This window comes from Homo sapiens, chromosome 3 (assembly GCF_000001405.40).
Source record: "Homo sapiens chromosome 3, GRCh38.p14 Primary Assembly".
Lineage (NCBI taxonomy): Eukaryota > Metazoa > Chordata > Mammalia > Primates > Hominidae > Homo > Homo sapiens.
The window spans coordinates 18,443,856-18,471,635 of NC_000003.12; the positions used below are offsets into that span (position 1 = coordinate 18,443,856).

General features: G+C 38.9%; 1 protein-coding gene and 1 long non-coding RNA gene across 9 annotated transcripts in view, besides 1 other annotated feature; one reads left to right on the forward strand and one right to left on the reverse strand.

Annotated features, from left to right (window-relative positions):
• The window catches only part of SATB1 (SATB homeobox 1), a 100,216-nt gene extending 98,479 nt beyond the window's left edge, over positions 1-1,737 (reverse strand). For 4 of the 8 annotated variants that reach the window (NM_001322876.2, NM_001322873.2, NM_001322871.2 and 1 more), the window contains exon 1: positions 752-1,017. The gene's annotated coding sequence lies outside the window, so the exon portion shown is untranslated. Of the gene's footprint in view, positions 1-194; positions 264-751; positions 1,018-1,662 lie in introns of those variants that run through there. The other 4 variants (NM_001322874.2, XM_011533989.3, NM_001322872.2 and 1 more) reach the window with 3 other exon arrangements.
• Positions 1,288-1,507: a silencer, noted in NCBI's record as "silent region_14129". NCBI's record gives its function as "represses an Ori minimal core promoter by ATAC-STARR-seq in GM12878 lymphoblastoid cells {active_cell/tissue: GM12878}" and the evidence as "EXISTENCE:reporter gene assay evidence [ECO:0000049][PMID:35858748]".
• Positions 1,382-27,780, forward strand: part of SATB1-AS1 (SATB1 antisense RNA 1) — an 84,878-nt gene continuing 58,479 nt past the window's right edge. The window contains exons 1-4 of the long non-coding RNA NR_125803.1: positions 1,382-1,587; positions 19,625-19,690; positions 20,432-20,484; positions 22,108-22,184. This is a non-coding gene — a long non-coding RNA (SATB1 antisense RNA 1). The remainder of the gene's footprint in view (positions 1,588-19,624; positions 19,691-20,431; positions 20,485-22,107; positions 22,185-27,780) is intronic.

The following is a 27,780-nucleotide window of genomic DNA, read 5'->3' on the forward strand; positions in this document are numbered from 1 at the left end:
TGCCCAACTCCAAACCCACATTCACGCCAGCAGCCTCTCCAGGACCGGCCTCGCTACAGCCAGCGAGGGCTCGAAATGAGGAGTGCCGCGGCTTTCAAACTCCGGGCTCCAACTTGAGCGCCCCGGCGCCCGAGTAGCTCCCGGGATGCAGAAGTTGCCACAAACTTCCCAGGCCCCTCTTCGCCGATGCTTACAATCAGCCGCGCAGGCAGGGAGCGGAGGGAGGCGGAGATGGACCGGGAAAGGATGCTGAGCAGACTCGCGATCCGGTGGGGGAACATTACCACTCCCGCAGCCCACTCCTCCAGGCACCTTACTGCCCGCCCGGCTCCAGAACGCACCGAGAGGCTCCCCTTTTCCCCATTTGCTTCCTTCGGTCTTTTCCACTCCCCTTTCCTTTTCTAAAAGGGGCCATACCGGTGACCTGAAGGAGTTTGTTCAGCCAGGGTCTATTGGGCAGGTGTGGTGGTGTGTCCACACCCAGACAGAAAACGAATGGCATCTTCAAATCCCCCATCCCGACCGCTCTCCCCTACTCTACCAGCCCACCCCTCCAAGGTCCGTCTGCGTGAGAAAAGGGGCTCGGAAGACCGTTGAAGCCCTGCGCCCACGAGAGGGGAGCCCAGCCGCCCCAATAGGGGACGAGGAGTGGGTGCTACGGAGAAGTTTGGATTGATTCCGGAAAAAGAGGGACAGAGATAAAACAGCAAGAGTAGCAAGGGGAAAAGGGAGGCAAAAGAGCAGAACTCACTCAGGCATGGACGTTGGGGGCGGCGGTGGCTGTCGAGTGCGGGCCTGAAACCAAGAACGGCTCCCCGGGCGGGCGCGCCGGCGTCGGACTTCCGAGGCGGCGGCTTCTGCCTCTCCTGCCGCCGCCGCCGCCGCCGGAGCTGCGGCTGCCGCGGAAGTTAATTGCAACTTGACTTCAAGTTGTCCTCTTTCCCCATACGAAGTGGGCGTTTAAAGGGGAGAGCGAGGCGAGGAGCGAGCGAGCGAGCGCGCGGGGCCAAGGGAAGGAAGAGAAGGAGGGGGAGGGAGGAGATGTTAACGGGCGGGGGGGGGAGAAGGGGGAGGGGGCGGCGGCGGGGGCGGGAGGGGGAAGGGGCCGGCGGGAGCTGCTCTCGTCTCGTCGGTCGCGGCGCCTGCAGTCTGGAGGCGCACCGGAGCGGCCGGGGCGTCCCCCGCGGGAGCCCGCAGCCACCCGGGACGCGCATCCAGACGTGGCGCTTCGGACCGGGCACGCTGCGCCCGGGGGCTCGGCGGACCCCGCGTAGCCGCCGCTTCGGAGCTTGTGCGGCGCGGGCTGGCCAGCGGGGCGGCCAGGGCCCGGCCCGCCTCCCCAGCGCCCGCCCGGCTTCTCCCCCTGGCGGTGGGAGCCTCGGCGGCCGCTGGCGACACTAGGCGCACTGAAGCCCGAGCCGAGCCGAGCCCGAGCCGCCGCCGCCGCCGCCGCTGCTGCGCACCGCTCCCGGGCTCCCTCCCAGCGCGCCGGCCGGGGTGTGGGGGGCGGCGGGCCGGAGGGGCGAGGGCGGGCCAGGGGGCGCACACGGGGGTTGGCGCGGAAGACAGGACCCTCAGCCTCGAGGGGTAAGTGTGGGCGCTTGGGGGTGCGCTTGGGGTGCGCGGCGCGGTTCTCGTCGCCCGCCAACCCTGCCCCCTCACCTCTCCGGGGGCCCCCAACACGCGCACTCCTCCTCTTGTCGCCTGCGGCTTCCTCTTGTTGCTTGTTGTTTGGCTGGGTTTTGGGGGGTGAGTAGAGGGGGTTACTGTAGTGTGTGTGCAGGCGGAGGAGGAAGTCAGGTGAGAGGCCGCGAAGCACCCCCACCCCAACCCAGCCTGCGTGGGGTGTATGCTTCCCCACTAGGGGCATTTGGGCCATTTTTTTTTTCTCCGTCAATGTTCGGTCGAGACGATGTTTCCTAGAGGGCCTCCTTCACTTACAGTCTGGTCTGTCCATCTCCCTTCATCCCACCCTCGTCCGTCTTAGCCCCTTGTCCAGGAGCCCTGCACCCCAAGTGAGGAGCACGTGGCGGAAGGAGGAGGAGGCCCTCTCTTGAAGACCCCCACGCTGTGACCCAGCCCATTAGTTTAAATATTTATCCTCACATCACCAGCTGTACTTTTCAACCCACTGGAACAAGACGCCTAGGCAAGGTCCAATTTCCCCAAAAAGCTGGGGGCAAAGCGGGAGAGATGAGGGTTTTATTGACATTGGGAGAGAAGGGGCCAAGGAACCTTCCCAAGTGGAGACTGAAACTCAAAAAATCTCTACAAAAAGACTAGGGTGACTGGAGGCTCAGGACTGCAGGCTTAGGAGAAACTGGAGCTCCATCAACTTTATTTCTCTCCCCCTGCCTCTCCTCCCCCCAGCTCTGAGGAAGCTAACAGGTCTTTTGTTTTGTATTGTGTAGCCTTTGGGAAATTTGCATTGAGTATGTCAACAGAAAATTACTACTGTTTACTCAAAGGGATTGCAGAAAGATAAAACATAGTAACATAGTTTTTACTTTTCCTCTTCTTTGTACGCTTGTGTGTATTTGGCAAGAAGTGTAGTTAGGTTCATGGCATGAACTGCAAAACGTCAGGTTGTAACAATAAGGACTGTAGAGCTGCCTAGGTGTATTTTTAGAAGCCGCACTTTCTTGAATTCCTTTCACACAAGGCTTGCTCTCTCATTAAGTCCCCATAAATAATTTTATTTAGAGAGGAGGAAACTATGGAAGCAGGAGGGAGATTGCTAAGATTTCCATCCTGCCAGCGCACAGCACTGTTTGCAGGGAAGTTCCTGGAAAGTGATTGTGGGCTGAGAATTCAGTTTTTCCTAAAAGCTCTGTTAGGTCCTGTTGTGTCAGATGGCTATGAATAAAGCACGCTGGGAAAATCCTGATATCCGTGCAGTCTTATTTTATCTTTTACACAGTGGTTGATTCGACTTTCAAGCCCTGGTGACAAACACATCAACTCTGCTGTATTTTTGTGTGCTTTTTCTAAATAAAGGAGAATACAGCATGTATTCATGCTGCTTTTTTCCCCTCATCCATGGTTATTGAATTCACTGGAAGTTATTCATCTTTTTTCAGTTGATCATCATTTTATGCCGAGACCACAATTCCAAACATATAGGAATTTTTTAAAATTATGAATTAGGGTTCTTTTAGGGAACCAACCCTCCTTTTTAAAGATACAAGTGCCCACCACAACTCCTAGTTTTGTAAAGCAAAGCAAAAAGGTATAAATGATTATAATGAGCAAAACATAGTAAAACGTTTTCCTTCTTGGATCACTTTCTGTCCCCACAGGTCCCAGGAGACATTAAATCCTCCTGCCTTAATTTACCAAAATGCTGCATTTCCTAACCAGTAACAATATCTGTGTCTGAGAAAGACATCAGGTTTGGAATGGAAAAAAATACATTCTCGGTATTTAATTACTGCTTAACAGTAATTTATTGTAGCAGGCAGTTGATTTTCCAATTCTGAAAGCCTGAAATGAAGCTGAACAGAAATTTGAAATTTTTAAAAAAGGTTTTTTTTTCTTTCTTACACTCTTATATACTCATCTGCTTCCCCAAGTTATCAGCCAAGCCCCTATAACTGAAAGTATGATATGCTCCTCTGAGTTGAACCGAGACCATTTTGCCCCTCATTTTTTGAATTTGCTTTTTCCTCCCAATAGTCTTGTATAGAAAGCACATGGGCTCTGTTAGAATACAGAATTATGCAATTCTGGGTGCAGTGCATTAAATGACATAGTTTGATAAACTCTTAAGCCTTACAGCTCAGATGTTAATAAAATATTGTAGTTGGCCACAAATTTCATAGCACAAGGCTAAGATCATTTTTCAGAAGAAAGGGGCATTTAATCTGGATTATTTGGTTAGTTGCTATGGTCTGAATGTTAGTGTTCCCCCAATATTGGGGTTCATGTGTTAGAACCTAATATCAAAAGTGATGGTATTAAGAAGTAGGGCCTTTGGGAAGTGATTAAGTCATGAAGGCTTCAACCCTCATGAGTGACAGGAGTGCCTTTGTAAGACAGGCTGAATCTAGCTACCTTGCCCCTTCCACTGTGTGAGGACACAGCAACAAAAGTGCCATCTGTGAAGCAAGGAGTGAGCCTTCACCAGATACTGAATCTGCTGGTGCTGTAATCTTGGACTCCTCAGCTTCCAGAACTGTGAGCAATAAATTTCTGTTGCTTATAAATTACCCAGTCAAAGATAATTTGTTGTAGCACCTCAAATGAACTAACACAATAATACATTTGTGCTACTAGATTTTTTTAACAAGTCCAAATGTGACTTAAATGACTGAAAGACAAATCTGGAACATATCAAATGGCCAATAATAGTAGCTGGTATCAAAAGCTGCACTGGTTATTTCCTTAAAAGAATAGACAATAAAATATTGCCTACTAAATATTAGAAGAAAGATCAAGGGAAAGGATAAAACAGCATTGGCCTTGAAGGAAGTTATTTGCTGGAAAAAAGACATCAAAATGTGAAAAGACAATGGATCAGTTAGTGGTTTGAATCAAAGAAATACTTGAGGAAGAAAAAATATATATATATATGTACATATTTTTCTCTTAAGACCAGAGGAATCAGAGATCCTAAAGCTCTAGGTTGGAAGGTATTTTTAAAGTTAATTTGTTCTGTCAAATCTTTAGAGGCCATTCAATGCAGATATTTTGGGTGTGAAGGGGAACTTACTACTTACCGCCATTAAGGCAAGGATTTTTACCTATACCGTACTTACCAGAGAATAGAGTTCACTATATATTGTGCAAGTGAATGGATAATTTCAAAAGTATTTCATCTTTATATACTTTATTATGTTTTTACCTTATATATATTTTTTTACCTTATATTGCACAGAATTAGTCTTCCTGAAACTTCCAACCGTTAGTCTTCGTCCTGCCAGTTGCAGCCAAACAGAACAAATTTGTTTATCAGTCAAGATAGGCAATGTGCTGGAGTAACAATTCCAATTTTTTAGTGGCCTGTAACAGCAAACGTTTTCTTGGTTATGGTTTGAATCCATTGCAGTTCAGCTGGTCTGTTCCATGTCTGTCACTCCAGGTCCCTGGCTAATGGAACAGTTGCCATCTTGAATGTTTCATGTTGTTATGGCAAAAATAAAGATCACTCTGGAGGGTTTCATGCAGACATTTAAATGCTATGGCCCAGAAATGCCATACATCATATGGCCTCACAAAGAATTAACCAGGATTAGTTGTGTGGCTCCAAAGAATCATGACAAGAAGGTCGGATAGTGCAGCCTATCTTGTACCCAACAGTAGAGAGCTGTGGTACACAATTCTGCAGACTACTGCTACTGGTAGTAATCCTTGTCCATATGATAACCTGCCAGCTAAACAGTCTCTTCCTGTAGCTTTATGGCCCAAGTCTTCCATTTTTTAGGGCAAACTGCCAGAGTAGCCACCAGCTTAGAGGGAAACATTGTTATCAGGGGAACCCGCCCCCAATATTTCAACATAGATTCTTTATATTTTCCCTAAGTGTCGGCCAGTCTGAGCAATAAAGAGAAAGAATACAAAGAGAAGAATTTTACAGCTGGGCCGCTGGGGATGACATCACATATCAGTAGATCCGTGATGCCCACCTGAGCTGCAAAACCTGCAAGTTTTTATTAGGGATTTCAAAAGGGGAAGGTGTGTATGAACAGGGAGTAGGTCACAAAGATCACCTGCTTCAAAGGGCAAAAGGCAGAGCAAAGATCACATGCTTCTGAGGAAACAGGACCAGAGCAAAATCAGAAACTCCTGATAAGGGTCTATATTCAGCGGTGCACGTATTGTCTTGATAAACATCTTAACAGAAAACAGGGTTCGAGAGCAGAGAACCGGTCTGACCTCAAATTTACCAGGGCTGGTGTTTCCCAATCCTAGTAAGCCTGAGGGTACTGCAGGAGACCAGGGCATATCTCAGTCCTTATCTCAACCACATAGGACAGACACTCCCGGAGTGGCCATTTGTAGACCTCCCCCCAGGAATGCAATTCTTTTCCTAGGGTCTTAATATTATATTCCTTGCTAGGAAAAGAATTTAGCGATATCTCTCCTACTTGCACATCTGTTTATAGGCTCTCTGCAAGAAGAAAAATATGGCTCTTTTTTCCCAACCCCACAGGCAGTCAGACCTTACAGTTGTCTTCCCTTGTTCCCTGAAAATTGCTGTTACTCCGTTCTTTTTCAAGGTGCAGTGATTTCACATTGTTCAAGCACACATGTTTTACAATCAATTTGTACAGTTTAACACAATAGTGGTCCTGAGGTGATGTACATTCTCAGCTTACGAAGATAACAGGATTAAGAGATTAAAGACAGGCATAAGAAGTTATAAAAGTATTAATTTTGGGAACTGATAAATGTCCATGAAATCTTCACAATTTATGTTCAGAGATTGCAGTAAAGACAGGTGTAAGAAATTATAAAACTATTAATTTTGGGAACTGATATGTGTCCATATTAAAGTGAAATCTTCACAATTTATGTTCCTCTGCTGTGACTCCAGCCAGTCCCTCTGTTTGGGGTCCCTGACTTCCTGCAACACATTGTGTGACTTCTTTTACTCTCTACTGTCTCTTTGAATGCAACACTACAACCTCCTGTACCCTTAGAACCCCTAACAAAGTGTGGCCTCTTATCAATTTTATGTCACTCTTTTATATTTACTAATATTATATACATTGTATTTTCTCAGGACTTATTTTCCTGGCAAGGGTATAATAAACAGGCATTTTTAACAACTGTTTTCTGAAAATGTCATGGTCATTATCAAAATTTGAAATTTGGTCTGAGTAGCTACTTCCCTTGTTGTGAACATCAAATGTGTTATATGATTTTGTAACACAAATTTTAAAAATCCTTCATTCATTCATTTATCCTACTTTTGTTCATTCAATAAATATTCATTTTCTACCTAGTAGAAGGCAGGCACTCTTTTAAGGATTGGGGATATGGAGATGATTAAGAGTTCTCCTCTTCAAGAAACACATTTTCTGATTGGGCAGACAGAATTAAAAGTCATTATAATGCTAATAGAAGCACAAAGTGTTATGTGAACATTTAGAAAGAAGCAAATAGCTAGCTGGCAGGATTTAGAAAAGTTCCATAGAGGAATTGACACTTAAACTAAGTCTTGAGGATAAGTGAGACTTCTCCAGGCAGAAAGAGGAGGGAGAGAGGGGATATTTCAACCAAGGAGACCAGCATGGACAAAGGCACTGAACATGACAAAGCTTATTGTTTATGGAACTGTAAGGAATTCAGTGAGGCTGGCGCATGGGGTCTTTGTAAAGGCTGAAAATTCTGAAGGGCCTTGCAGACATTCTCTGGAGTTTGGACATTATCCCATACATCAGGAACTGCAAACTCTTATGTCTACCTTGGGCCATGCATGGATGTACATGACTAAAGCAGACCAAGTTAAGACTATAAGCAGTCGTGGGGCTGTGGCAATGTGAAGAATATATCCTCTGTCCAAATGGGATAGTAAATGCCATTGGTGCCTCCATTCTCCAAAGAAAAGCAGGAAATTTAGATGTATATGAAAAATTGAATATTAAATGTTGTCAACTTATCCATATTTTGAAGTACACTGTTAGTCCTTAAGCTAATTTTGACCTACAGACAAATTTTGTATAGCTTTTGCATGTATATTTCTACTGAAGGTCAAAGTGTTTATACCCATTGGAGAATAGTAGCCACTCTTTATCTGCAAGTTATATGTTCCAAGATCCCCAGTGGATACCTGAAACTGTGGATAGTACTGAACTGTATGTATACTGTTTTGTCCTATACATGCATACCTGTGATGAAGTTTAATTTATAAATTAGGCAAAGTAAGATATTACTAACAATAGCTAATAATAAAATTGAATAGTTATGATACACTGTAATAAAAGAGACTATGATCTCTCTCTTTCAAAGTTATCTTATTACACTGTACTCACCTATTTTCAGACTGCAATTGACCTCAGGTAACTGAAACTCCAGAAGAGAAACCTCAAATAAAGGAAGACTATTGCCTGTTTTATCTCAACCTATCCCATAGCCATGTGCCTAAGGACTGTCTTGAGGATATTTAATTTTTGTCATTTTTTTAATTGAGTCCACTAATTACTTACTCTTCCTAGCTGCTCTCTTGCTTTCATGCCAGACTTGCTGCCACTCAATAGTCAGAAATATGCAGCAACACCCCACACTTTCCTATAGCAATTATAATGTTAGAAATACTAGGTATCCTTTCATAACGCATGCTGACCATTTTCTTGTAGATTTGGTCCCATGGGTACATCCAGATTCTTAAAGTCATTCAATTCACTGGGCCATCAGGTCTTTAAGTTCTTGACAACTTGGCTGTACAGATTACAAATTTTATTCGATCTTCTTGACTGAAAGAAAGTCAACGTTCCTGGGTTGTTTTGTCTAACTTATAAACAATAACAATCATCCATTTTATGTGTTCTGTGAGTTTTGAATATGAAGGGGCAGCATGAGCAAATTATATTTTATGTGAACTTTGAAGTAAATAAATATATCTAGGCAAAGCCACTTTAGGTGTCCAACTGTCTGGATTCTAATCCTGGTTCAATTAGTTGCTACCTATATGACCTAGAGCAAATCTCCTAATTTCTTTATGCCTCAATTTCCTCATCCATGTTACAGGGATGCTAATAGTTAGTAGATGGGGTTAGTAGGTGCAGAGTGCTTCAGAATAGAAAAATGAATTTACTAGGATGTAAGTGGGATATAAGTACTTAACTCCTGGATGACATGATGTTGTGCTGGGGGTACACAAGCCAAAGAAGAATTATGGCTTCTATTTCTGGAATATTTATTTTTTACTTGAGGATTTTAGAAATTATTTTCTTATGAAAACAGTGACACATATAATGGAATTAACTGTAGCATTTTGCATGAATTTTAAAGAAAAACAAGAGTCTTTAAAGATCTTTCAGCTGCTTCGGATTTTGGGGGGAAGAATGGGAACTGCATTTTCTTCCTTTTGCTGCACTCTCTCCTTTATCAGGTTGGTGGAAATGCTTATGATTAGCAGACCATATACACTAGTTACATTAGTTACATTTGCCTCAAAACTGTGAAAGTACCTCCTGTATTTATGTGCTATGAATGCTGCCCAAGTGCAGAATCTTTGCCATTTAAATGTTCAGATTTTAAACCAGAAATGTGTTGGGGTAAAGAAGAAAATTATTAGAGCATGACCTTAGGGAAATCAAGTCACAAAAAAGAAAAGAGCTGAACTGAATTCTATTTCCCATTCTGTTACTAACCAGCTGGCTTATTAATGTCCATAAAGAGAGAGATTTTTGTCCTTTTCACTGATAATCCTCCACACCTTGAATAAATAGATAATGTTGAATGATCTTGGGAAAGACACTTTGTTAAAGTCTCAGTTTCCTCAGCTGCAAAACAAAGATGTGATCTTAAACTTAAACTTTATTGTGTATGGAATTAAATAGAGTTTTTGTTTAAAATGCAGGTTCTTTGAGTCCATGCCCAGAAATTCAGATTTGGTAGAACCAGATGCTATTCAGCAATCCACATGGATTTGGGGCTTGGGTTGTAAGGAGCAAAAATCCAACTTAAAAAGAAAGGTTTTATTTTTTATTTTGCTTCATTTTTTGTCCCCCCTCTCTTCCCCTCCCCGCACATAAATTGGAAAATACAATGCAAGGACTGCTTAAGGCATAATTAGATCTAGCTGTTCAAATAATGTCACCAACCATCTTTTGGTTATGCTTTCTTCTCTTTTAACTTTATACTTAGTCTGGTTTTTCCTTTAAGGAGTTCATTTTTAAGAACTTCATTCTTAATCTGCCTTTTCTCCTAGCTTCCATTCTTCTGACATAGAAACCCCAGCACAAAGAGTATTCCTTTTTCTCAAATTTTCCAGCTAAAGAAACTACACCCAACTTGACTGTATTAGATTATGTCAGGTACCCGTACCTGCACTCATCACCATGGTCAGCACCTGTGATTCACACCTCAGCAGCCTTGAGTCAAATGCCCACCTTGGATTTGGGAGTACAGTCACTCAACTCAAACCATGTGGGCTTGGACGTGAAGGTGGGATGGTTCTCCAAGACAAATTGGAATTAATTTTTTTAGAAATAAGGAAAATGGGTGCTTTTTAGCCAAAACTATAGATCTCCTTCCACTACTGAGCATTTTTAAGACGTATTTAGAGATGAATGATCCAAAAATGTTACAAAAATATAACCAGTATTCCAAGACATTGAGGCATTCAGCCCTCAATGTGACAAAGCAGGGGCTGAGAAGTACCTAAGATGGTCACAGTCCCAGTGCCAGGTGCCTCACCTATTTACCTCAGTGTTTGGGGAAAATATTAAGTATTTTCCACGTGTTATTGTATTAGTTTTCACACTGCCATAAAAACTACCTGAGACTGGGTAATTTATAAAGAACAGAGGTTTAATTGACTCACAGTTCCACATGGCTGGAGAGGCCTCAGGAAACTTACAGTCATGGCAGAAGGCAAAGGGAAAGCAAGACATGTCTTACGTGGCAGCACGAGAGAGAGAGAGAGAGCAAGCGAGGAACTGCCATACACTTTTAAACCATCAGATATCATCAGATCTTGAGACAGCACTAGGGGGATGGTGCTAAACCATTAAAACCACCCCCATGATCCAGTCATCTCCCACCAGGTCCCACGTTCAACTTGTGGGGATTACAATTTGACATGAGATTTGGGTGGGGACACAGAGCAAAACCATATCAGCTATGAAGGTGATCTATGTGCAGGTGAACTGTGACTTGTGCTATGGGAATCAGTGGATTTTGAGAATCAGTCAAAATCATTATTGTTATGTTTGACATGACATTTTGAAGTCATCTCAGGCATACAATAATAGTACTACTCTAGGATCTTCATGACATAACCTGGAAGTTGGTTGATGCAATTGAAAAGACAAAGCCCTAGTACAAAAAAAAATGGGACAAAGAAACAGGCAGGACCAGCAATTAAATCTTGCTTTGATTTGGTTATCAGTTTGTGTTTATTTAATAATCTTGGACAAATGTATTCATCTAATGAATACAGCCCCAGCCTGGATCCCAGCATGCCTGGTTCCAATTAATGTTTGAAACATAATGGATACATGCTATACAGATAATGAAAAGGGGTAAGCAGGCAACAGTGTGGAAGACAAAACTGAGTTGACTTAGTTATCAGATAGGTCTTAGGTGTATTACATGCGAGTTCATGGAAGTAAATTCGGATGAATGAATTATTAACCCCTATTTTTGTTAAGTGAAGAAGCTGCTATCATTTCCTTAAGCTCATTAATACAATTAATAAAAATAAAATGTCTACCTCTTCATTTTAGTATTAAGTCATTAGTTTAGTTTCAGATGCTTTTCCATACCCTTGCCCCACTGTTACCTTCACCAAAGTAATCCAATGTGCAGAGAAAAGTGTTTTCAACAAATAATGCTGGAATAAATAGATATCCACGTGGGAAAACAAAACAACATTTATCCATATCATACCATACACAAAATTCATTTGCAATGGATTATAGATCCAAATGTAGAAGGTACAAGTATAAAGCTTTTATAGGGAAACATAATGTAAATTGTAGATAGACAAAGATTTCTTAGATGAGCCATAGAAAACAATAACCATAAAATAAAAAATAGGTAAATTACATGTTAAAATGTAAAACTTAGCATAATGGCATGTGCCTGTAGTCCCAGCTACCCAGGAGGCTGAGGCAGGAGGATCCCTTTAGCTCAGGAGTTCAAGTCAAGCCGGGGCATCATAGCAAGACTGCATTTCTATGATTAATTAATTAAAAAGTTATGTTTAAAGAAAAGCAGAGTGAGGAGTGATATCTGGAAATTCCTTATTAAACAAACATTACTACTAGAAGGATTTCCTCTCTTGTGCATTTAGTTCAAGTTTTTTGTTTGTTTTGTTTTGTTGTTTTTGAGACAGGGGCTCCACTCTATCACCCAGGCTGCAGTGCAGTGATAGAAGCTGACTCTGTGAGCTTAAGCAAAGCACATGGGGGATTTTCATGCAATCCAAAATCAGGGATGCAATGGAGCCTTAAGAATAGAAGAACTGGCTCGGCACAGTGGCTCACGCCTGTAATCCCAGCACTTTGGGAGGCCGAGGTGGGCGGATCATGAGGCCAGGAGATTGAGACCATCCTGGCCAACATGGTGAAAACCTGTCTCTACTAAAAATACAAAAATCAGCTGGGCGTGGTGGCACACACCTGTAGTCCCAGCTACTTGGGAGGCTGGGGCAGGAGAATCACTTGAACCTGGGAGGCGGAGGTTGCAGTAAGCCAAGATTGCACCACTGCACTCCAGCCTGGGTGAGAGAGAGAGACTCTGTCTCAAAAAAAAAAAAAAAAAAAAAAAGAATAGAAGAACTATTGAAGTGCTATAGGGAACCAAGTCAATTCTTTCTCTCCATATCTCATCTTTGTCTTTCTTCCTCAGAGTAGTCCAGCTCCCTGCCTCCTCAGTTCACACAGTGAATCATGGTTTCTAATTGTTCTTGAGCCATTTTCAGTCAGTCCACCCTGAGAAAGGACCATCTTCCTGTCTTTCACAATTCTCAGGGAAGAGTCTGATTGGCCTGCTTGGGTCCAGTGACCACCCTTATTCCAATAAGCTGTGACCAGAGGCAGGATGATGTTTAAAGAAACATAGCATTTTCTTTCATCTCTTGTAATGTGGAGTGAAAAGAAATTGCATCACAGTTGAGATCCACTGTACATTTACTCTTCATTAGACATGAGACAGAGTTCACAAAAATTTTGCATTTGGTCACAGTTTTTAATGGCAACAATTATTGTTGTGTTGGTTTTTTACTTTTTTGATTATCTAATATCGGCATCTCCTCTCTGCATATCTATGTATTGACTAATACATATTAAGGGCCATAAACAAAGATGGTTCATTTTAGAAATGGGCACATTTGTTTATAAATTATTAGCCAAGATCTATTCAAATCCAGACATGATTTGTTCTAGTCTGGATATACAATAAAATTAATTTAAATAATTTTAATCAACTTCAAAAACAGCAAATTCCAAGACAATTAGGATAACTTTAAGAACTCATATTTATTGAGTTAACAGATGGTAAATTAAAAAACAATGAAGCTAATTTTTAAAATCATTCATTGAATTAAAAAATAGACTTATTTAACAAAACTGTTTTTAAGCTGCTTTTTTATCCTAATATGCATGTTTTAAGATTCCAATTTGGGGGACTCTAGAAAGACGCAGAGTGAGTTTCAGTATATGAACACTCTTCTACTGAGTTACTTTTTAAAAGCTTCAGAATCATCTGAAAAAAAAACTATCAACAATAAAAATATAAGAAATAAGAATATTTCAGTTATTGGAAGGGATGGAGGGTTTGCTTCTTCAATTCCAGTTTGCTTGCTAACATGGTCCTATGGTGTATTAGTTTGTTTTCACACTGCTGATGAAGACATACCTGAGACTGGGCAATTTACAAAAGAAAGAGGTTTAATTGAACTTACAGTTCCATGTGGCTAGGGAAGCCTCACGATTATGGTAGAAGGCAAGGAAGAGCAAGTCATGTCTTGCATGGATGGCAGCAGGCAAAGAGAGAGAACTTGTGCAGGGGAACTCCTCTTTTTTGTGAGACTTATTCACTATCAGGAGAACAGCATGGGAAAGACTTGCCCCAGTGATTCAATTCCCTCCTACCAGGTTCCTCCCACAACATGTGAAAATTCAAGATGAGATTTGGGTGGAGACACAGCCAAACCCTATCATATGGTCTTCTGTATTTCTGACCTTGAAATATCTTGAGAGTTTCCTCTGCTAACAGAGTGAAAGTTGCTCCTGGCCAGAACTTTATTTCTGCATTTTAATGGACAAACATAAAAAACTTCCCATCTGATGGCTTCTTGAGCCTAGTGCATGGGTGACTTGAAATATGCTAGCACCACACAGATATTTTTTCTTTGATCTTTTCTGTTTTCTCCTTTGTTTTCTAGTTGTAAGTGCCAGAAGCTGACTGTGAGCTTATAGGAAAAGGAGAATTTCATGGAAGCACACTGAAAGCATGGGTTCTTTTCCTTTTGGGTTCTCACTTGGTGGGGTCTCCTTGCAGCTTTTGGAGGTGGGGCAATTAACATCCCCCAGTACATGAAGTGTACCAGAAACTGTGGTTGTTTTCAAATGAGAGTTCAATCACTTCTACTTCCTGAGGATTTTATAGATGAAGTTGGAGATAACACCATTGATACATTAGGATACATCATTTGCATTTTACCAGCTATTATTAGTTTTAACATGATGGCATATTTAGAACTAGAGTTATCCATGTAGAAATGAAGTTGTTCCATAAAAAAAATGGGAATACATTTGTTTGAATGGCTAGTTGCTCAATTACTGTTATAGTCTTTACCATGGGCAGTCACAAACTGTTGCAATTTATTTTATGGTCCTGGAAACTTCTTGTCTAAGATCTGATCTTATTTTACGTTGTAGGTATTCCATTACTTGATCAATAATGTTTAGAATTGTATATATTTGTTTTTGTAGACCAATTCATTAGTTGTAATTTGAGTTAGAAAACATTTAGAGATATAGAAACACATTTATTGTTGAGATTGTAGTAAAAATTATTTTATTGTTATGCATTTGAAACTCTTTGGCCCCTAGCCCCCTTTCCTCTGGAAATAATTGTTTTTATAATACCAATTTGATAATATGAATGTTCTTAGGAATGTAATTATAACAGTATAGTAGGAGAGACTATATTGTTTTTAATTAAACAAGAACAGGTGAAAATAAGAATAGATCATGACCAAATGAAAAAATGTACTAGAGAGATGTAACTTCTGTTTTGCAGAAATAGAAATCAAAGATATAGAGGAAAAACTTCATAACTTCATAAACATCCAAGGAAATTAATAAGAGTTAAATGGATAAGAGGTAATTAGATGACAAATTATGGAGCTCTAATTTAGAATGTAAGCTACTTAATGGCAATAAACATCTTGTTGTTACCCAACCCCTAAGACATAGCTTAACATATAGCATAGCTTAACATATAGTATATACTATTATTGTTAAATAAACATTATTTTCTTGAATTTATAAATAAAATAATGAGTGTTTTAAAAATAGAGCAGATGGATCAGAAGTAAAAACTTGTTATAATGTTATAATAAAATAAAACTTTCCATATGTAACAACTACACTGACATTGTAGGATTTCTTTTGAGCAAAATTAAGGAATGCAAGGCATAAGTAAATAAATTTTTAAATTTCTGGGACGAAGAAAATTTCTTAAAGTACATGTGAAGGAAAAACATACACGCTTTTGTAGATTGCCTTCATCTTTCTTATATAGAACAAGAACTTTTTAAAGAACACAGGTAAATGTCCACATAATTTTAAGAGAAACAAGTTTGAAGTATACTAGAAACTCTGGTTGTTTCCGTATGAGAGTTCAATCACTTCTACTTCCTGATATTTTACAAATGCAATTGGAGATAACACCAATGATGCACTAAGCTACAACATTTGCATTGTACCAGCTAGTATTAGTTTTAACACGATGGTATATTTGGAACTACAGCTATTTATGTAGAAATGGTGTTGTTCTATAAAACGTTTTATGCCTACCCAATTATCAGCTTATACATAAAAGCAACAGAATAACAAAATCTTCCAGGTATCAGAGAACATAACAACCGAATGTCTTTTCCTTAAAAATTGCAGGAAATATTGTCCAGATCACTGAGAGGTGAGGTAGTATAAAAACTCAAGAATAAGAAATTCCAATAAAAAAGATTAATACTAAGCATTGAAGGCAAAGACAAAATAAGTGAAATATAGTGAAATCAAAGTGAATTGGGAATTGATGCTGATAGCTAGATATTTTTTACTAAGGGAGCAATGTTTTCAATAAAATAATCCTGGAGGGTTTTACATTTTTAAATAAAGCATCTATACCTAGTGATCACAATATGGAAAGAGGACAGGAAGGAAATAAAAGCATTATAAGAAGCAGCATTTTTGCTTTATTTTCAAGTCATTAAATAAGAATGCATATAAAAGTATAGTTGTAGACAATTTAATGTCGGCACTAGTAGAATTGAAAGCAGGATATCTATTTTCTAAATAATTATCAAAGATAAAAAAGCAAACATAGTCCATTCAAAAGACAAAATGAAAGGCAACAACAAGGAATTATTGAAGAGAAGAAAGTTTAAGTCCAATCAAGCTTAAAAAATATGACAAGTATAAATGGCTTAAATTTTCCTATTCAAATGGAAAGATCCTTATATTAAATTAAAATCAAAGTCTAATGGTTTGGTGGTGCTTAAAAAAGTCATACGTAAAGGAAAAGAACACAGAATTATTTTTTAATGGCAAAGTTTTTTCCAGCCTAACATGTTCACATCCAAATCAAAAATACAATATGAATATCAAACAGGGCAGAATTTTTGGCAGAAAAACTCCAAAACAGTAATCATGACAAAAGGGACTATTTTATACTTGTTAATAATGTCGTTCTACTGAAGGAATAATAGTACTGAAAGAGTATGCATTAAATAACTACAAATAAAAAATAATTTATACATTCTGTTTTAAAAATACAGTATTACTTACCACAGCAAAATAATATATATACAAGCAGTACAAAAGTTTACAAATTTAGGAGCTATACAAGTGAAATACTTTGTATCAGTAGGTTAAATAAGAAATAAATTATTAATTTAATACATTTTTTGAAAGCAGAAGAGAAAATTTACTATCTGTTCCTGAAAAAATGTTGAAAATAGAATAAAATATTTTATCTTAATTATTAATATCAAAATTAATTAAGAATTCTAAAAATGTACATATTTAAAACAGGATGGGATGAAAGTTGCTATAATGGTTTTGCCATAATAATATCATTTAATAGTATTTTTAAAACTCTGATCAATGTAATAAAACATACCAAGGAAAGAAAAGCTATATAGAATGAAAAAAGAGATACAACATTATGTATTGAAAAAATATTTTTATAGTTTAAAAACCCAAAGTAGTCAATGAAAACCTAAATAAAAATAATTGGTAAAATATTAAAACATATAAACATTAACATAAATCAGCAGTATAAATGTAAGCAATCATTAACTCAAACATAAACTTTTAAAAGAGAGAACTATAAAAAACAAATTCACAGACTGGTTTCAAGTGTGAACGATAACATTTTTATATTGTTATTTCCCAAGTTTAATGGAAATGTAATAACAATCTCCCTTTCATTTTTTACTTTTTGAGGTAGTGGTGAGAGGAATTTGATTTTAGTGTAAATCTAGAAGAAAAAGTAGTCAAGAATAGCAAAGTTCAATTTTTAGAAAGAAGGAGTGACTAGTCTTATCAAATATTAAAATATATAATAAAGTTATAATAATTAAAACTATACTGGCACCAAAATAAATATATTAATGAGGCAAAACATGTGGGCAAATAAATTATATATAAAAATGAAATATTTGATAATGGCTGGACCACAGATTAAAGGAGAGGGAAAATGTTTTGCAATATATGGGCTAATGGAAAAAAAAAATCAGCTTTTACACTCATTATGTACATAAAATACATTATGCAAACTAAAACCTTAGGAAGTCTAACGAGACTTTATTTTATAGGCTTAAAACATTGTAACAAAATTGCAAAGTGAACAGTAAAATAGATTTGATTATATTAAACACTTGATTAGTTAAAACAACAATGTAACAAGCAAAGGGTGGCCTATGTGCAATTGCAATTATTTGAACATAATAACAAAGAGTTGATATGATTTCACAAGAGCTCATACAAACTCATACTTAATCAATATATGAGATAAGAATGAAATCACATTTCATAAAATATGAAATATAACACATTTGCAAGCACATAAAAATCCAGCCTTAATAACAATCAAATGAATATACACTAAAACAAAAAAAAATGAGTTATGTTTAGGTTTAATCAACTATTTAAAATTGATGTCAAGGACTTACACTTTCAGCTGTTACATTTAGATCAGCTCATCCTATAAGGACAAGTAGAACAAATAGAAAAGTTGAATAAAATCTACCAAACGTTTGTTTAAAAGCACTGGAGAGCTCCACAGTGGAGAGAGCTTGAGAGCAGAGAATTTAAGAAAGATCCTAACTGCCTGTCAGAAACTAAAGTAAAACATCACTTAAAGAAGAGATGATCTTCCAGAGGTCTAAATTATCTCTACAATTTTTCATACACAATGTCTGGCATTCAATAAAATTACCAGGCATACCAGAAGACAAGATAAAATGACTGAAAACAGAGCTAGAGGAGATCCAGATATAGGAGTAACAAATTTTAAAATATCTATGCTATCTTTTAAAAATTATATGAGTAGATAGAAAATTTCAACAGACTACTATTAACTGTGATAAAGAATCAAATGGAAATTCCAGAACTGAAAAATTAACTGAAATTAAAAACTCAATAGTTGGATATAAGAGCAGATTAGAAATTCTTGAAGAACAAACTTATGAGCAATAGAAATTTTGATGTTAATACCTAACAAAGTCAGAAAAGGTGTATTGGAAAATGGTTTCTCTCATGTAACTGGTGACATGTAAACCTATATACCACTTTTTGGAAATACTTTGATAATGTGAATTCACTATTTGAACAAAAAAATTTATATCTTTTAACCCAGTAATCTTATCTCTGGGAATGTGCCATAGGAAATAAGTTTTTAAATCCACAGTGCCTCATGTATGAAGATATTCACTACAGACTTATGATAGTAATAACTATCTACAGACAATGTTTAAATACTTTATTTCAATTAATGCAGGTTAATCCTCACAACAATCTATGGTGCTAGTGAACATTACTATCCTCATTGTACAGATGAGAAAACTGAAACATTGAGAAGTCAAGTAACTTGCTCAAGATTATATAGCTAGTGCATAGAGGGGCAAAGATTTGAACCAGATTGCCTGGTTCCACATGCACTTTAACCTGCTTTATTTAGGCTTTTGAAAGCAACCTAAATAGCTAACATTGACTAAATAAGTGCAGTATACCTGGTCTGTGTGACATTTTGCAGGTATTAAAAAGTGAACATTCTGAACCCTTTTAGCAATATGGCAAATACTTCTGATGTGATGTATGCATATAAATATGATCGAAAGCAAATATCCCAAAAGGTTGATGGCAGTTATGTCAGGTTAGTAGCACAATAGTTTCTTTTCTCATTTTCTCACATTTTTAGTAATGTGTGTTGCCTATATTAAAAAACAAATATTAAAAAGTAGTAGCATGTATTAGATCAGAGCATGGGCTCAGACTGCCTGTGTCATCTCTTATTAGATGTATGACCAGGGACAAGTTATTGACCTTTTGTTTCTAAGTCTCTAAGTTTATCCTGTAAAATGAAGATAATTGTAGTAACTACCTAATAACATGATTGTAAGGATTAAATTATTTAGAACACTATTTGTTACTTGGAAAATATGCAATCATAAGCTATTTTGTTGTTATTGTTATTTTACTACCAAAGCTTATTGTTTCAGAGCCCCTAGGTGACCAGGCAAAATGGCAGTTCCTTCCAGCTGGTCCTCAGATGGGCACATCTATTAGTAAGTTTCATTTCTGTATTTGGATCTTTATTCATCCTTATTATGAATTCCCCAATACTGAGGTTTCTAGGAACCTACCTGCCATTGGCTGAAGGGTTGCTTCTGAATTCTTTCCCAGAGGCAGTGACAAAAATCAAACATCCGATGTGTTCTTTACCTTTCAGTAAGCTCAGCCTCCCTGCTTGTGTCACATCTCTAAACATACGTACATGCGTGATTGAAACTGTCTATTGAAAGCAATATTACATTAACATTATCAATACTGAATTAGAGAAAATATCTATCAATGTCACCAATTCCACCTGTCTCTTGATGTATGACTTTTTACCTGACAGGCTAAATAACAATAGAAAGTTCTTTTTAAAAAATAGAAGAGTTGCTATGCAGGGACTTTTTTGGAATTAAGTGCCCCAGAGAACCTAGAAATGTGCTTTAAAACTTTTTGTTTCACCTGGCAGATCCAAAAAAAATTTGGAAGCTTTTGGTTGAATTCCCTCATTACTTGAAGTTGTTTTATGAAAATTGAATATATATATCTGTTAGGTTACCAAGACTTATGGTTAGCTATCTTAATGGCTAGTGATATAAGACCTTGTAACAAACCCTACCAATGGAACTGACAGGATTTTACCAGGGAGGATATTGCAGTACCTGTAAGAGGAAGGGATACAAATTGGCACTTCATACATTTGTGAGAACAATTGCCTTTAATGTGTCTATTTGGTTTTCATAATATTGCAGGCCTCTGCTCTTGTAAGAAGTTAGCTGCAGAACCCACATGTGAATCCTTGTAGGTGAGTCCACCATTTCACTAATACTGTGTTTTAATTGCCTCAGTTACGTCCATCTGACATTCATTGGCAAAGTCCTTTGGTTAAACTTCCTAATAATTCTCAGCTCTATCATATGGTAAATGTTTAACACATTGCTTTAATGTTTGAGTTTTTCATTTTTGTTGAAGTTATTATTCCTCTCAGGCTTATTCATGAAGGCATTTCTGGATTTATGCCTCCCCTGACCCATTCCAGGATTTACCCCAAACCTTCCACACTCTCTTCTAACAGGAAAGTTCTGTTATGACACAATAGTACTTATTAAGACAGATTTACCTTCTAAGTCTCAGGACAGCATTTCACAACCAGAAATAACCGGTCACATGAAGAACCAGAGTCTGGTAGTAGTGAAATTCATTTTCCTTCTTGAAAAAGTGGATCAAAGGATTCAAACAGCAAGTGGTGAATCAATGAAAAGTGGTAAAATGGTGAGGAAAAAATGTTACTAAAAGATGACCTCAAGATTACTGGTGCATATGAATTGCTTTTTTATATAGGAAAATACTGGATAATTTCTTATTGTCATAGTATAATTAGAAGCAATTTCATGTGTTCATTTTGCCACATGAGTTTAAATGGAATAGATTTGGTTCCCTCTCTAACATGAGTTCAGTGTCTGAACTTGGGCAAATTTCTAAACAATTCTGAGCTTCACTACCTCTGCTTGAAAGTGAGAACAATTGTATTTATCTATTATTTGTCTATTAGGTTATGAGAGCAAAAATGTCATAACATAAAACACCTGGCACCCAGCAAGCAATTAATGCTAGTCCTTCCCACCCCTATTTATGGAGGTAGAAAGAAAAAAGATAACAGACAGCTCTACTTTTATTTTTACATATATCCTTCATTGATTACCTTATGAGTAAACCTAAAAACAGCAAAATTCTCATCTCTTCATCCTTCATTTCTCAGTGCTTTATCAAATTTCTACTATGAACTAAGAACTGAGTGCTATGGGAGACACAAAGGAGAGTCAGGTATTGTTCTGTTCTCAAGGACATTGGCATCTAGAAAGGGAGATTTTTTTTTAATGCCATTAGAGAGACAAAATAAAGCACTGTCCTGGTTTTAAGCAGGAAAAATCATTTTAACTGGGGTTACCAGGGAAGGTTTCATGGAATAGGTAGTGTTTGGGCTTTAAAGAATGGGTATAGTTTGGAAAGCAAGAAGAGAGGAAATACAATGAGTCATGACTGAAGCACAGTTGACCCTTGAACAACACAAGTCTGAACTGTATGGGTCCACTTATAGTGGATTCTTGTCATCCAAAAGTGGATCAAAAATATGGTATTTGCTGGATGCAAAACCCATGTATAGGGAGGACTGACTTTTCTTCTATGCGGATTCAGCAGGGTCCACTTGAGTATACCAGGATTTTGGTATTCTGTGGGGTGTCCTGGAACCAATCCCCTGCGCATGCCGAGGGGAGGGACAACTGTAGTATAATTGAGAGAAAAACCATTGTCCCAGGATTGGAAGGACAGGTTGGCATTACCTTGGATGAACCACTTCTCCCCTGTAGCCTTCAACTTCTTCACTTGTGAGAGATGTAGAATAATCCCTGCCCTGTTGGTCTTTCAGGACTCTGGAGAAGATCAAATGGGAGCTTAGATGTGGAAGCTCTTTGGAAACCAAGAAACACTCTGAAAATGAAAAGGGTATCTTTTTTTCCTTTTCTCCCTTTACCATAAATTTCATGATGGCACTTAACAGAGCCAGTCGTTTTGGTATTTAAAAAATGTTTGGTGAAATAATTAGTTATTGGTTGAATGAATGAATTTATAAGTGAATACATGAATTAAACAAAGGTATGGAGTAGGAAAGCACATAATATGAGCAGAGAATAAGGGATTCTATTTGGAAGCATGCACTAGAACTGGATGTTAGGGATGTGAATGTGGCTAGCTGGAATGGGTCTGTGGTTCTCACAATGTGATCTGTTGACCAGCAGTGTCAATACCACCTGTTAACTTGTTAGAAATGCAAAAAGAATTATGAATTTGAAACTCAGGGTGGGACCCAGCAATCTGTTTCTCTCTAAGTCATTCTGATGCATAGCAAAGTTTTGAGAACCATGACTTTGTATTAAGGTGGGGAGTTTGGAAATTATTTTTCTGTAAGTTCGGTGCTAATGAAGATTTTCAACTGTGGGTGGACATAATCACAGCCGTATTTCTAGGATGATGAGGCAGAAGGTTGTACCTACAATATCTATGACTTCAGCATTAAAAGGACAATTAGAAGTACTGGAAAACACACCGTATTTGCCAAGCTCCAGAAATGAAGATTTTGTTTTTACCTATTTCCGAATAATATCCCCATACTTACCTAAGAGGCAAAGCAGAGCAAGCATTGCTCCCAGGCACTGGGGAAACCCACTTGGTCTGCAGAGCCCAGGCAGGATGAGAATGTTTATGTGAAAAAAGTAAATGAGAGCGGACTGTCAAATACGGCCCCAACCTTTCTGCAGAGAGAGGAGTAAGTAAGCCTTTAGTCCTGACCAACTGTGGGGAAACATTAAATGGAACCTTCCAAATTGGTTTAAAGTGGGCAGCTAAGCCTATGCCAAGGACTAAGCCAACTGCACTGGCTACAAACACACCTGTGTCTTTAGGGCTGGTGGATACAAATTTGCCAAAGGAGAGCACACTACATGGAGGAAAAATGAAGAGCCGCAGGGAAACATTTATCCTAAAGGGGAAAGAGTCAAGACAGAGATATCATGGGTCAGTTGGGAAGGAGATGGAGGGGAGAGGCAGGAGGTGAGCTGTTCAGATTGCTAGAATGACCAATCCAGATGGCTAGGATGACCAGTCATCCTGGTTTGCCCAAGAGTGAGGGATAGCCCACATCATAGGATTTCCAGGACAATCCTTGTCAAAGCGGGACAATTAGTCACCTTAAGACTCTGCCCTTTCACCTGTGTTCAAGACCTGGGGAGAAGGCATAATAAAAATAGAAAAAATCACTGCTGTCAACCTCCGCTTCTCAAAATATTGTCCAGAAACTAGCAGCATAGGCTTCACCTGGGAGCTTGTTAGAAATGCAGATACTCAGGCATCCTAGACCTACTGAATCAGAATCTGCATATTAACAAGAGCTCTGAGTGATTTGTATGCACATTAGAGTTTGTCTCAAAAGATCTTGTGGCATCCCACAGTAAATAATGGAGCACAAGTGGCAGAAATAATTTCCTCTGGGCTGTAATATGGCTAATATCCAGGTTGATCAGATACTAAGCTAAAACCAGATCAACCTTGCCTGGGAAGGACGCAACCTAGGGATGGAGAGCAACCCAGGCAGAGAGGGAGAAAGAGGCTGACACAAATTAGCCAAGAGGGGACCCCCTGAACTATTAATAGTAGTAGTATTTGTAGGGAAAGTGAGAAAAGCCAGCAAGCCAGCAATTGTATGGTAAGAATAAAGCTAGAGAAATTAATGTTGCCAGTACTGTGACCCTATTTTTACCACTTCTAGGCTGATGTGGGCTGGGAAATGGGTTATGCTTAGAAATGTGGAGCCTGCCAAGTGTGGTGGCTCACACCTGTAATCCTAGTACTTTGGGAGGCCGAGGAGGGCAGATAACCTGAGGTCAGGAGTTCAAGACCAGCCTGACCAACAGGGAGAAACCCTGTCTCTACTAAAAATACAAAATTAGTCTGGTGGTGGATGCCTGTAATCCCAGCTGCTCGGGAGGCTGAGGCAGGAGAATCGCTTGAACCCAGGAGGCGGAGGTTGTGGTGAGCCGAGATCACACCATTGCACTCCAGCTTGGGCAACAAGAGTGAAACTCCATCTCAAAAAAAAAAAAAAAAAAAAAGGAAAGAAAGAAATGTGGAGCCACAAGTGGTAAGCTTGTAGCGGTAAGCTTGTAGAGAAAAATCCAAAATGATCATCCACTAAAAGTGTTCAACTCCAGATCTTGGCCTCATCCACTTGCATATCATTCAAATACAGTGTGCAAAGAATAGTTTTCTTTCTTTTTTCTACCTGGTCTGATCTTCATGGGCTTCAGCTCTGCAGTCTAGCAGGGATAATTGACACTTAATTAATAGTGTTTCATTCTCCTCTAGCTTGAACATATTTCTTTCTCTTTCAACATTGAAGCCAGTAGTTCTAAAAATCAAACATGCAAACATGCATCAGTCACCTGGAGGGCTTGTTAAAACACAGGTTACTGGGTCTGCCCTCAAGGTTTCTGATTCAGCACATCTGAGGTGGAGCCCTAGAATTTGCATTTCTGAGTTCCCAGGTGATGCCGACATTTTGGTCCACAGGCCACACTTTAAGAACCTCTGATTCAAACTATTCAGAGTTTATTTCATATCCAAAAGTGATTATTTAAAAAGTATCTTAGATTAATGCTCCTCAAACTGATTGATTTTTCCAATCATGTACCAAATACATAGTCCTATTTCACATGACCAGTATTCAGCTTTTGCTGCAAGCAACTCACCATGCCAGTTCCACACACCTGAACAGGTTATATCCTGTTTAACAAGATCAGCCCACTGATCACATACTAGGATGTCATGGCAATGTCAATTTATGATAGAAGTTTCTAAACATGAACTTTCATCTGTATTTATCTCACCCCCGAACAGGAACAGTTTGTGGACTTGCGCTGGCCCTTGGACCACACTTCGAGTGACATTGTTATAGATGACACGGTCTCTTATAGGAAAATGCACAGTCTTTCTTAGATTCTCTACCTCCCTCTTCCATCTCATTCCCAACATAGATCTGGGTACATGAGTGGGGTCTTATTATAATCTTGTGACACCCTTGGATCATGCACTACCCTCTAAATAATCAATAGTTTCTACTATAGAGAGGCTCAATTTATCTTCTCCCTGGAATTGGGACCACTGAAATATAACTAGAACCCAACTGATCTTTTGAGATGTTGTGTGCTTGCCCTTACTGCTACTGCCGTAGTTCTGAACATTTCCCCAAGCATCAAAAAGGCCCCATGGCCTCTTTTCCCCTAGACCTCTGCCAGTCCACCAACACTCTCAGTGGGGAAGTAAGAAGCCTGGTGGATCCTGCTTCCCACACAAAGGCCATGATGAGACAGATGCTTTCTAAGTCCGATATATCTACCCACTTTCTGCTGTCACCTCTGTACCTCCTGAGTCACATGGAATGTGGTGCTGAGCCAAATGGTCAGTCTTCTAGAAGCAGTGGAATGTTGGAGGCAGCTTATACCTTAGCTGATTCTTAAATTTTCAGGAATTTTGTGAGCCAGTTTTTAAACACAGCCATTGTTGAAAATTAAACAATATAAACTTATAATCAAATATATTAAAAATAAAGATAATGCCCTCAACTCATCACTTCCTATTTATTGTTTTACACTTTAGTACTATCTATGCTTATTGTATGTGTATGGTGGAAATACTACATAATGATATTTAATGGTGTACTGCCACACAGCTCTTCACAACTCTGCATTCAGTGACATCACTTTGGTAGCTTGAAATCAGCCATGATAGGAGTATTTATATCTTGGAAATTGGCAAATATTACAAATCAGCATTCCACCCTCCCTTACCTCCCCACCCCCCAGCCAGTTGTTAAACATTTACCAGCATGCAACCACCCAGAGCCTGCATCTGGGAAAGTGAGCCACTAACCCAATGACCTGTGATAACCCTATACATATCTAGCTGTTACTAAGCTGCCCTTCCCATAACGGTCTGCCCCAAAAAGGTGTGTGTGCAGAGGAGAATAAAAACTAAAACCCTAAGATCATCTTATTTACTTGCCCTATTTCTGCCTCTTTTCTCTCCCTGCCATCTCTGGGGTCCAGAAGTAGAAGCTTTTTATTGCCTCCGGAGTTTATTCTTATACATCAAGGATAAACATTCATGACCTAACATCATCTCTCTTGTTTTCTCCCGCCAAAGCTATAAGGATAGTCTAATCATGAAAAAACATTAAACAAACTCAAAATGGGGACAGTCTATAAAATACCTAACCAGTTCTCTTCAGAACAGTTAAGGTCCTGAAAGGCGAGGAGAGAAGAAGAAACAATCACAACTTGGAGGACATTAATGCACTAAATTTAATATGGTTTCATAAGTTGGGCTGAAAAGAAAAGGACAGTAGAAAAGCTGGGATATGAGAATACAGTCTAAGTGTAGTACTAATGTTAAGTTTTTAATCTCTAACTTGATGGCATGGTTATAGAAAATAGAAACATTAGGCAAAGCTGGGTGAAAGGTATACAGGAACTCTACTATCTATACAACTTTTCTGTAAACATAAAATTATTTCAAAATAAAACTAATATAAGAAAAAAACATGGCCGACATAACAGATAGAATGGATATCTTCTCTAGTCTATGAAAAACCCTGTGTCCTACATTCACTTGCTTTGTGATATAATAAAAGGGGGAAAGGAAGGGATGATAGAAACATTATTCCTCTTAATAAACTTGGATTTTAAAATCTTTTATCTTTTCACAGCATAAAACATTCCACTTAGGATGCTATATGTTGAGCATTAACTTTCTCTTTTTCTTTATAGTCTTTCTGTAATAGTTCAAATCCTGCCCACCCTGAGGGTGGATGTTTCTAGATGATGAAGGAGGTCATAAACAGAGAGTAGATTAATATAATTATCTTTATTTCATGTCTATTTGCAAATGGGCCATTGTTCACATAGTTGTCTCTCTTTCTAAATGGAAGAATAGTTGGAGTTGGGGGTGGGGAAATACCAGAACTGAGAGGAGTAAAGGTGCTTCAAGACAATGCTTCTTAAACTTTGGTTTTGTGTTTGCATCTCTTGGGGATCTTGTTTAAAGTAGGTTGAGATTCAGTATGTTTGGGGAGGGGCCCGTTAATCTGATTTTATAAAAAGTTCCTAGATGATGCCATGCTGCTGGTCTCTGAGAAGCAAGAGTCTGGGGTCCTTTCTAAAGTGTTTCCTCTCTCCTCTATACAGTCAGAAAAGGAAAGTGCTTACTGGTCAGAGATTTAAAAGACATAGGAGATATACCACACTTCTATAAGACCAGAAACAAAAACAAAGAAAGAAGAAACATAATAACCAAAATATGACATTATTGCACACAATGAGATGCAGTAAAAGATGGACTACTTAGGCATTCACTGGACATAAGTGAAGCTGCCTTTGGAGTTTAATTTTAAGTTCTCAGTAACTCACTGTATTTAGTCATATCGTTTCACATACAGACAAAATTCCTTCTCTACTAAGAAGGAACTAAAGCTCTCAGAATTACTGAGTTG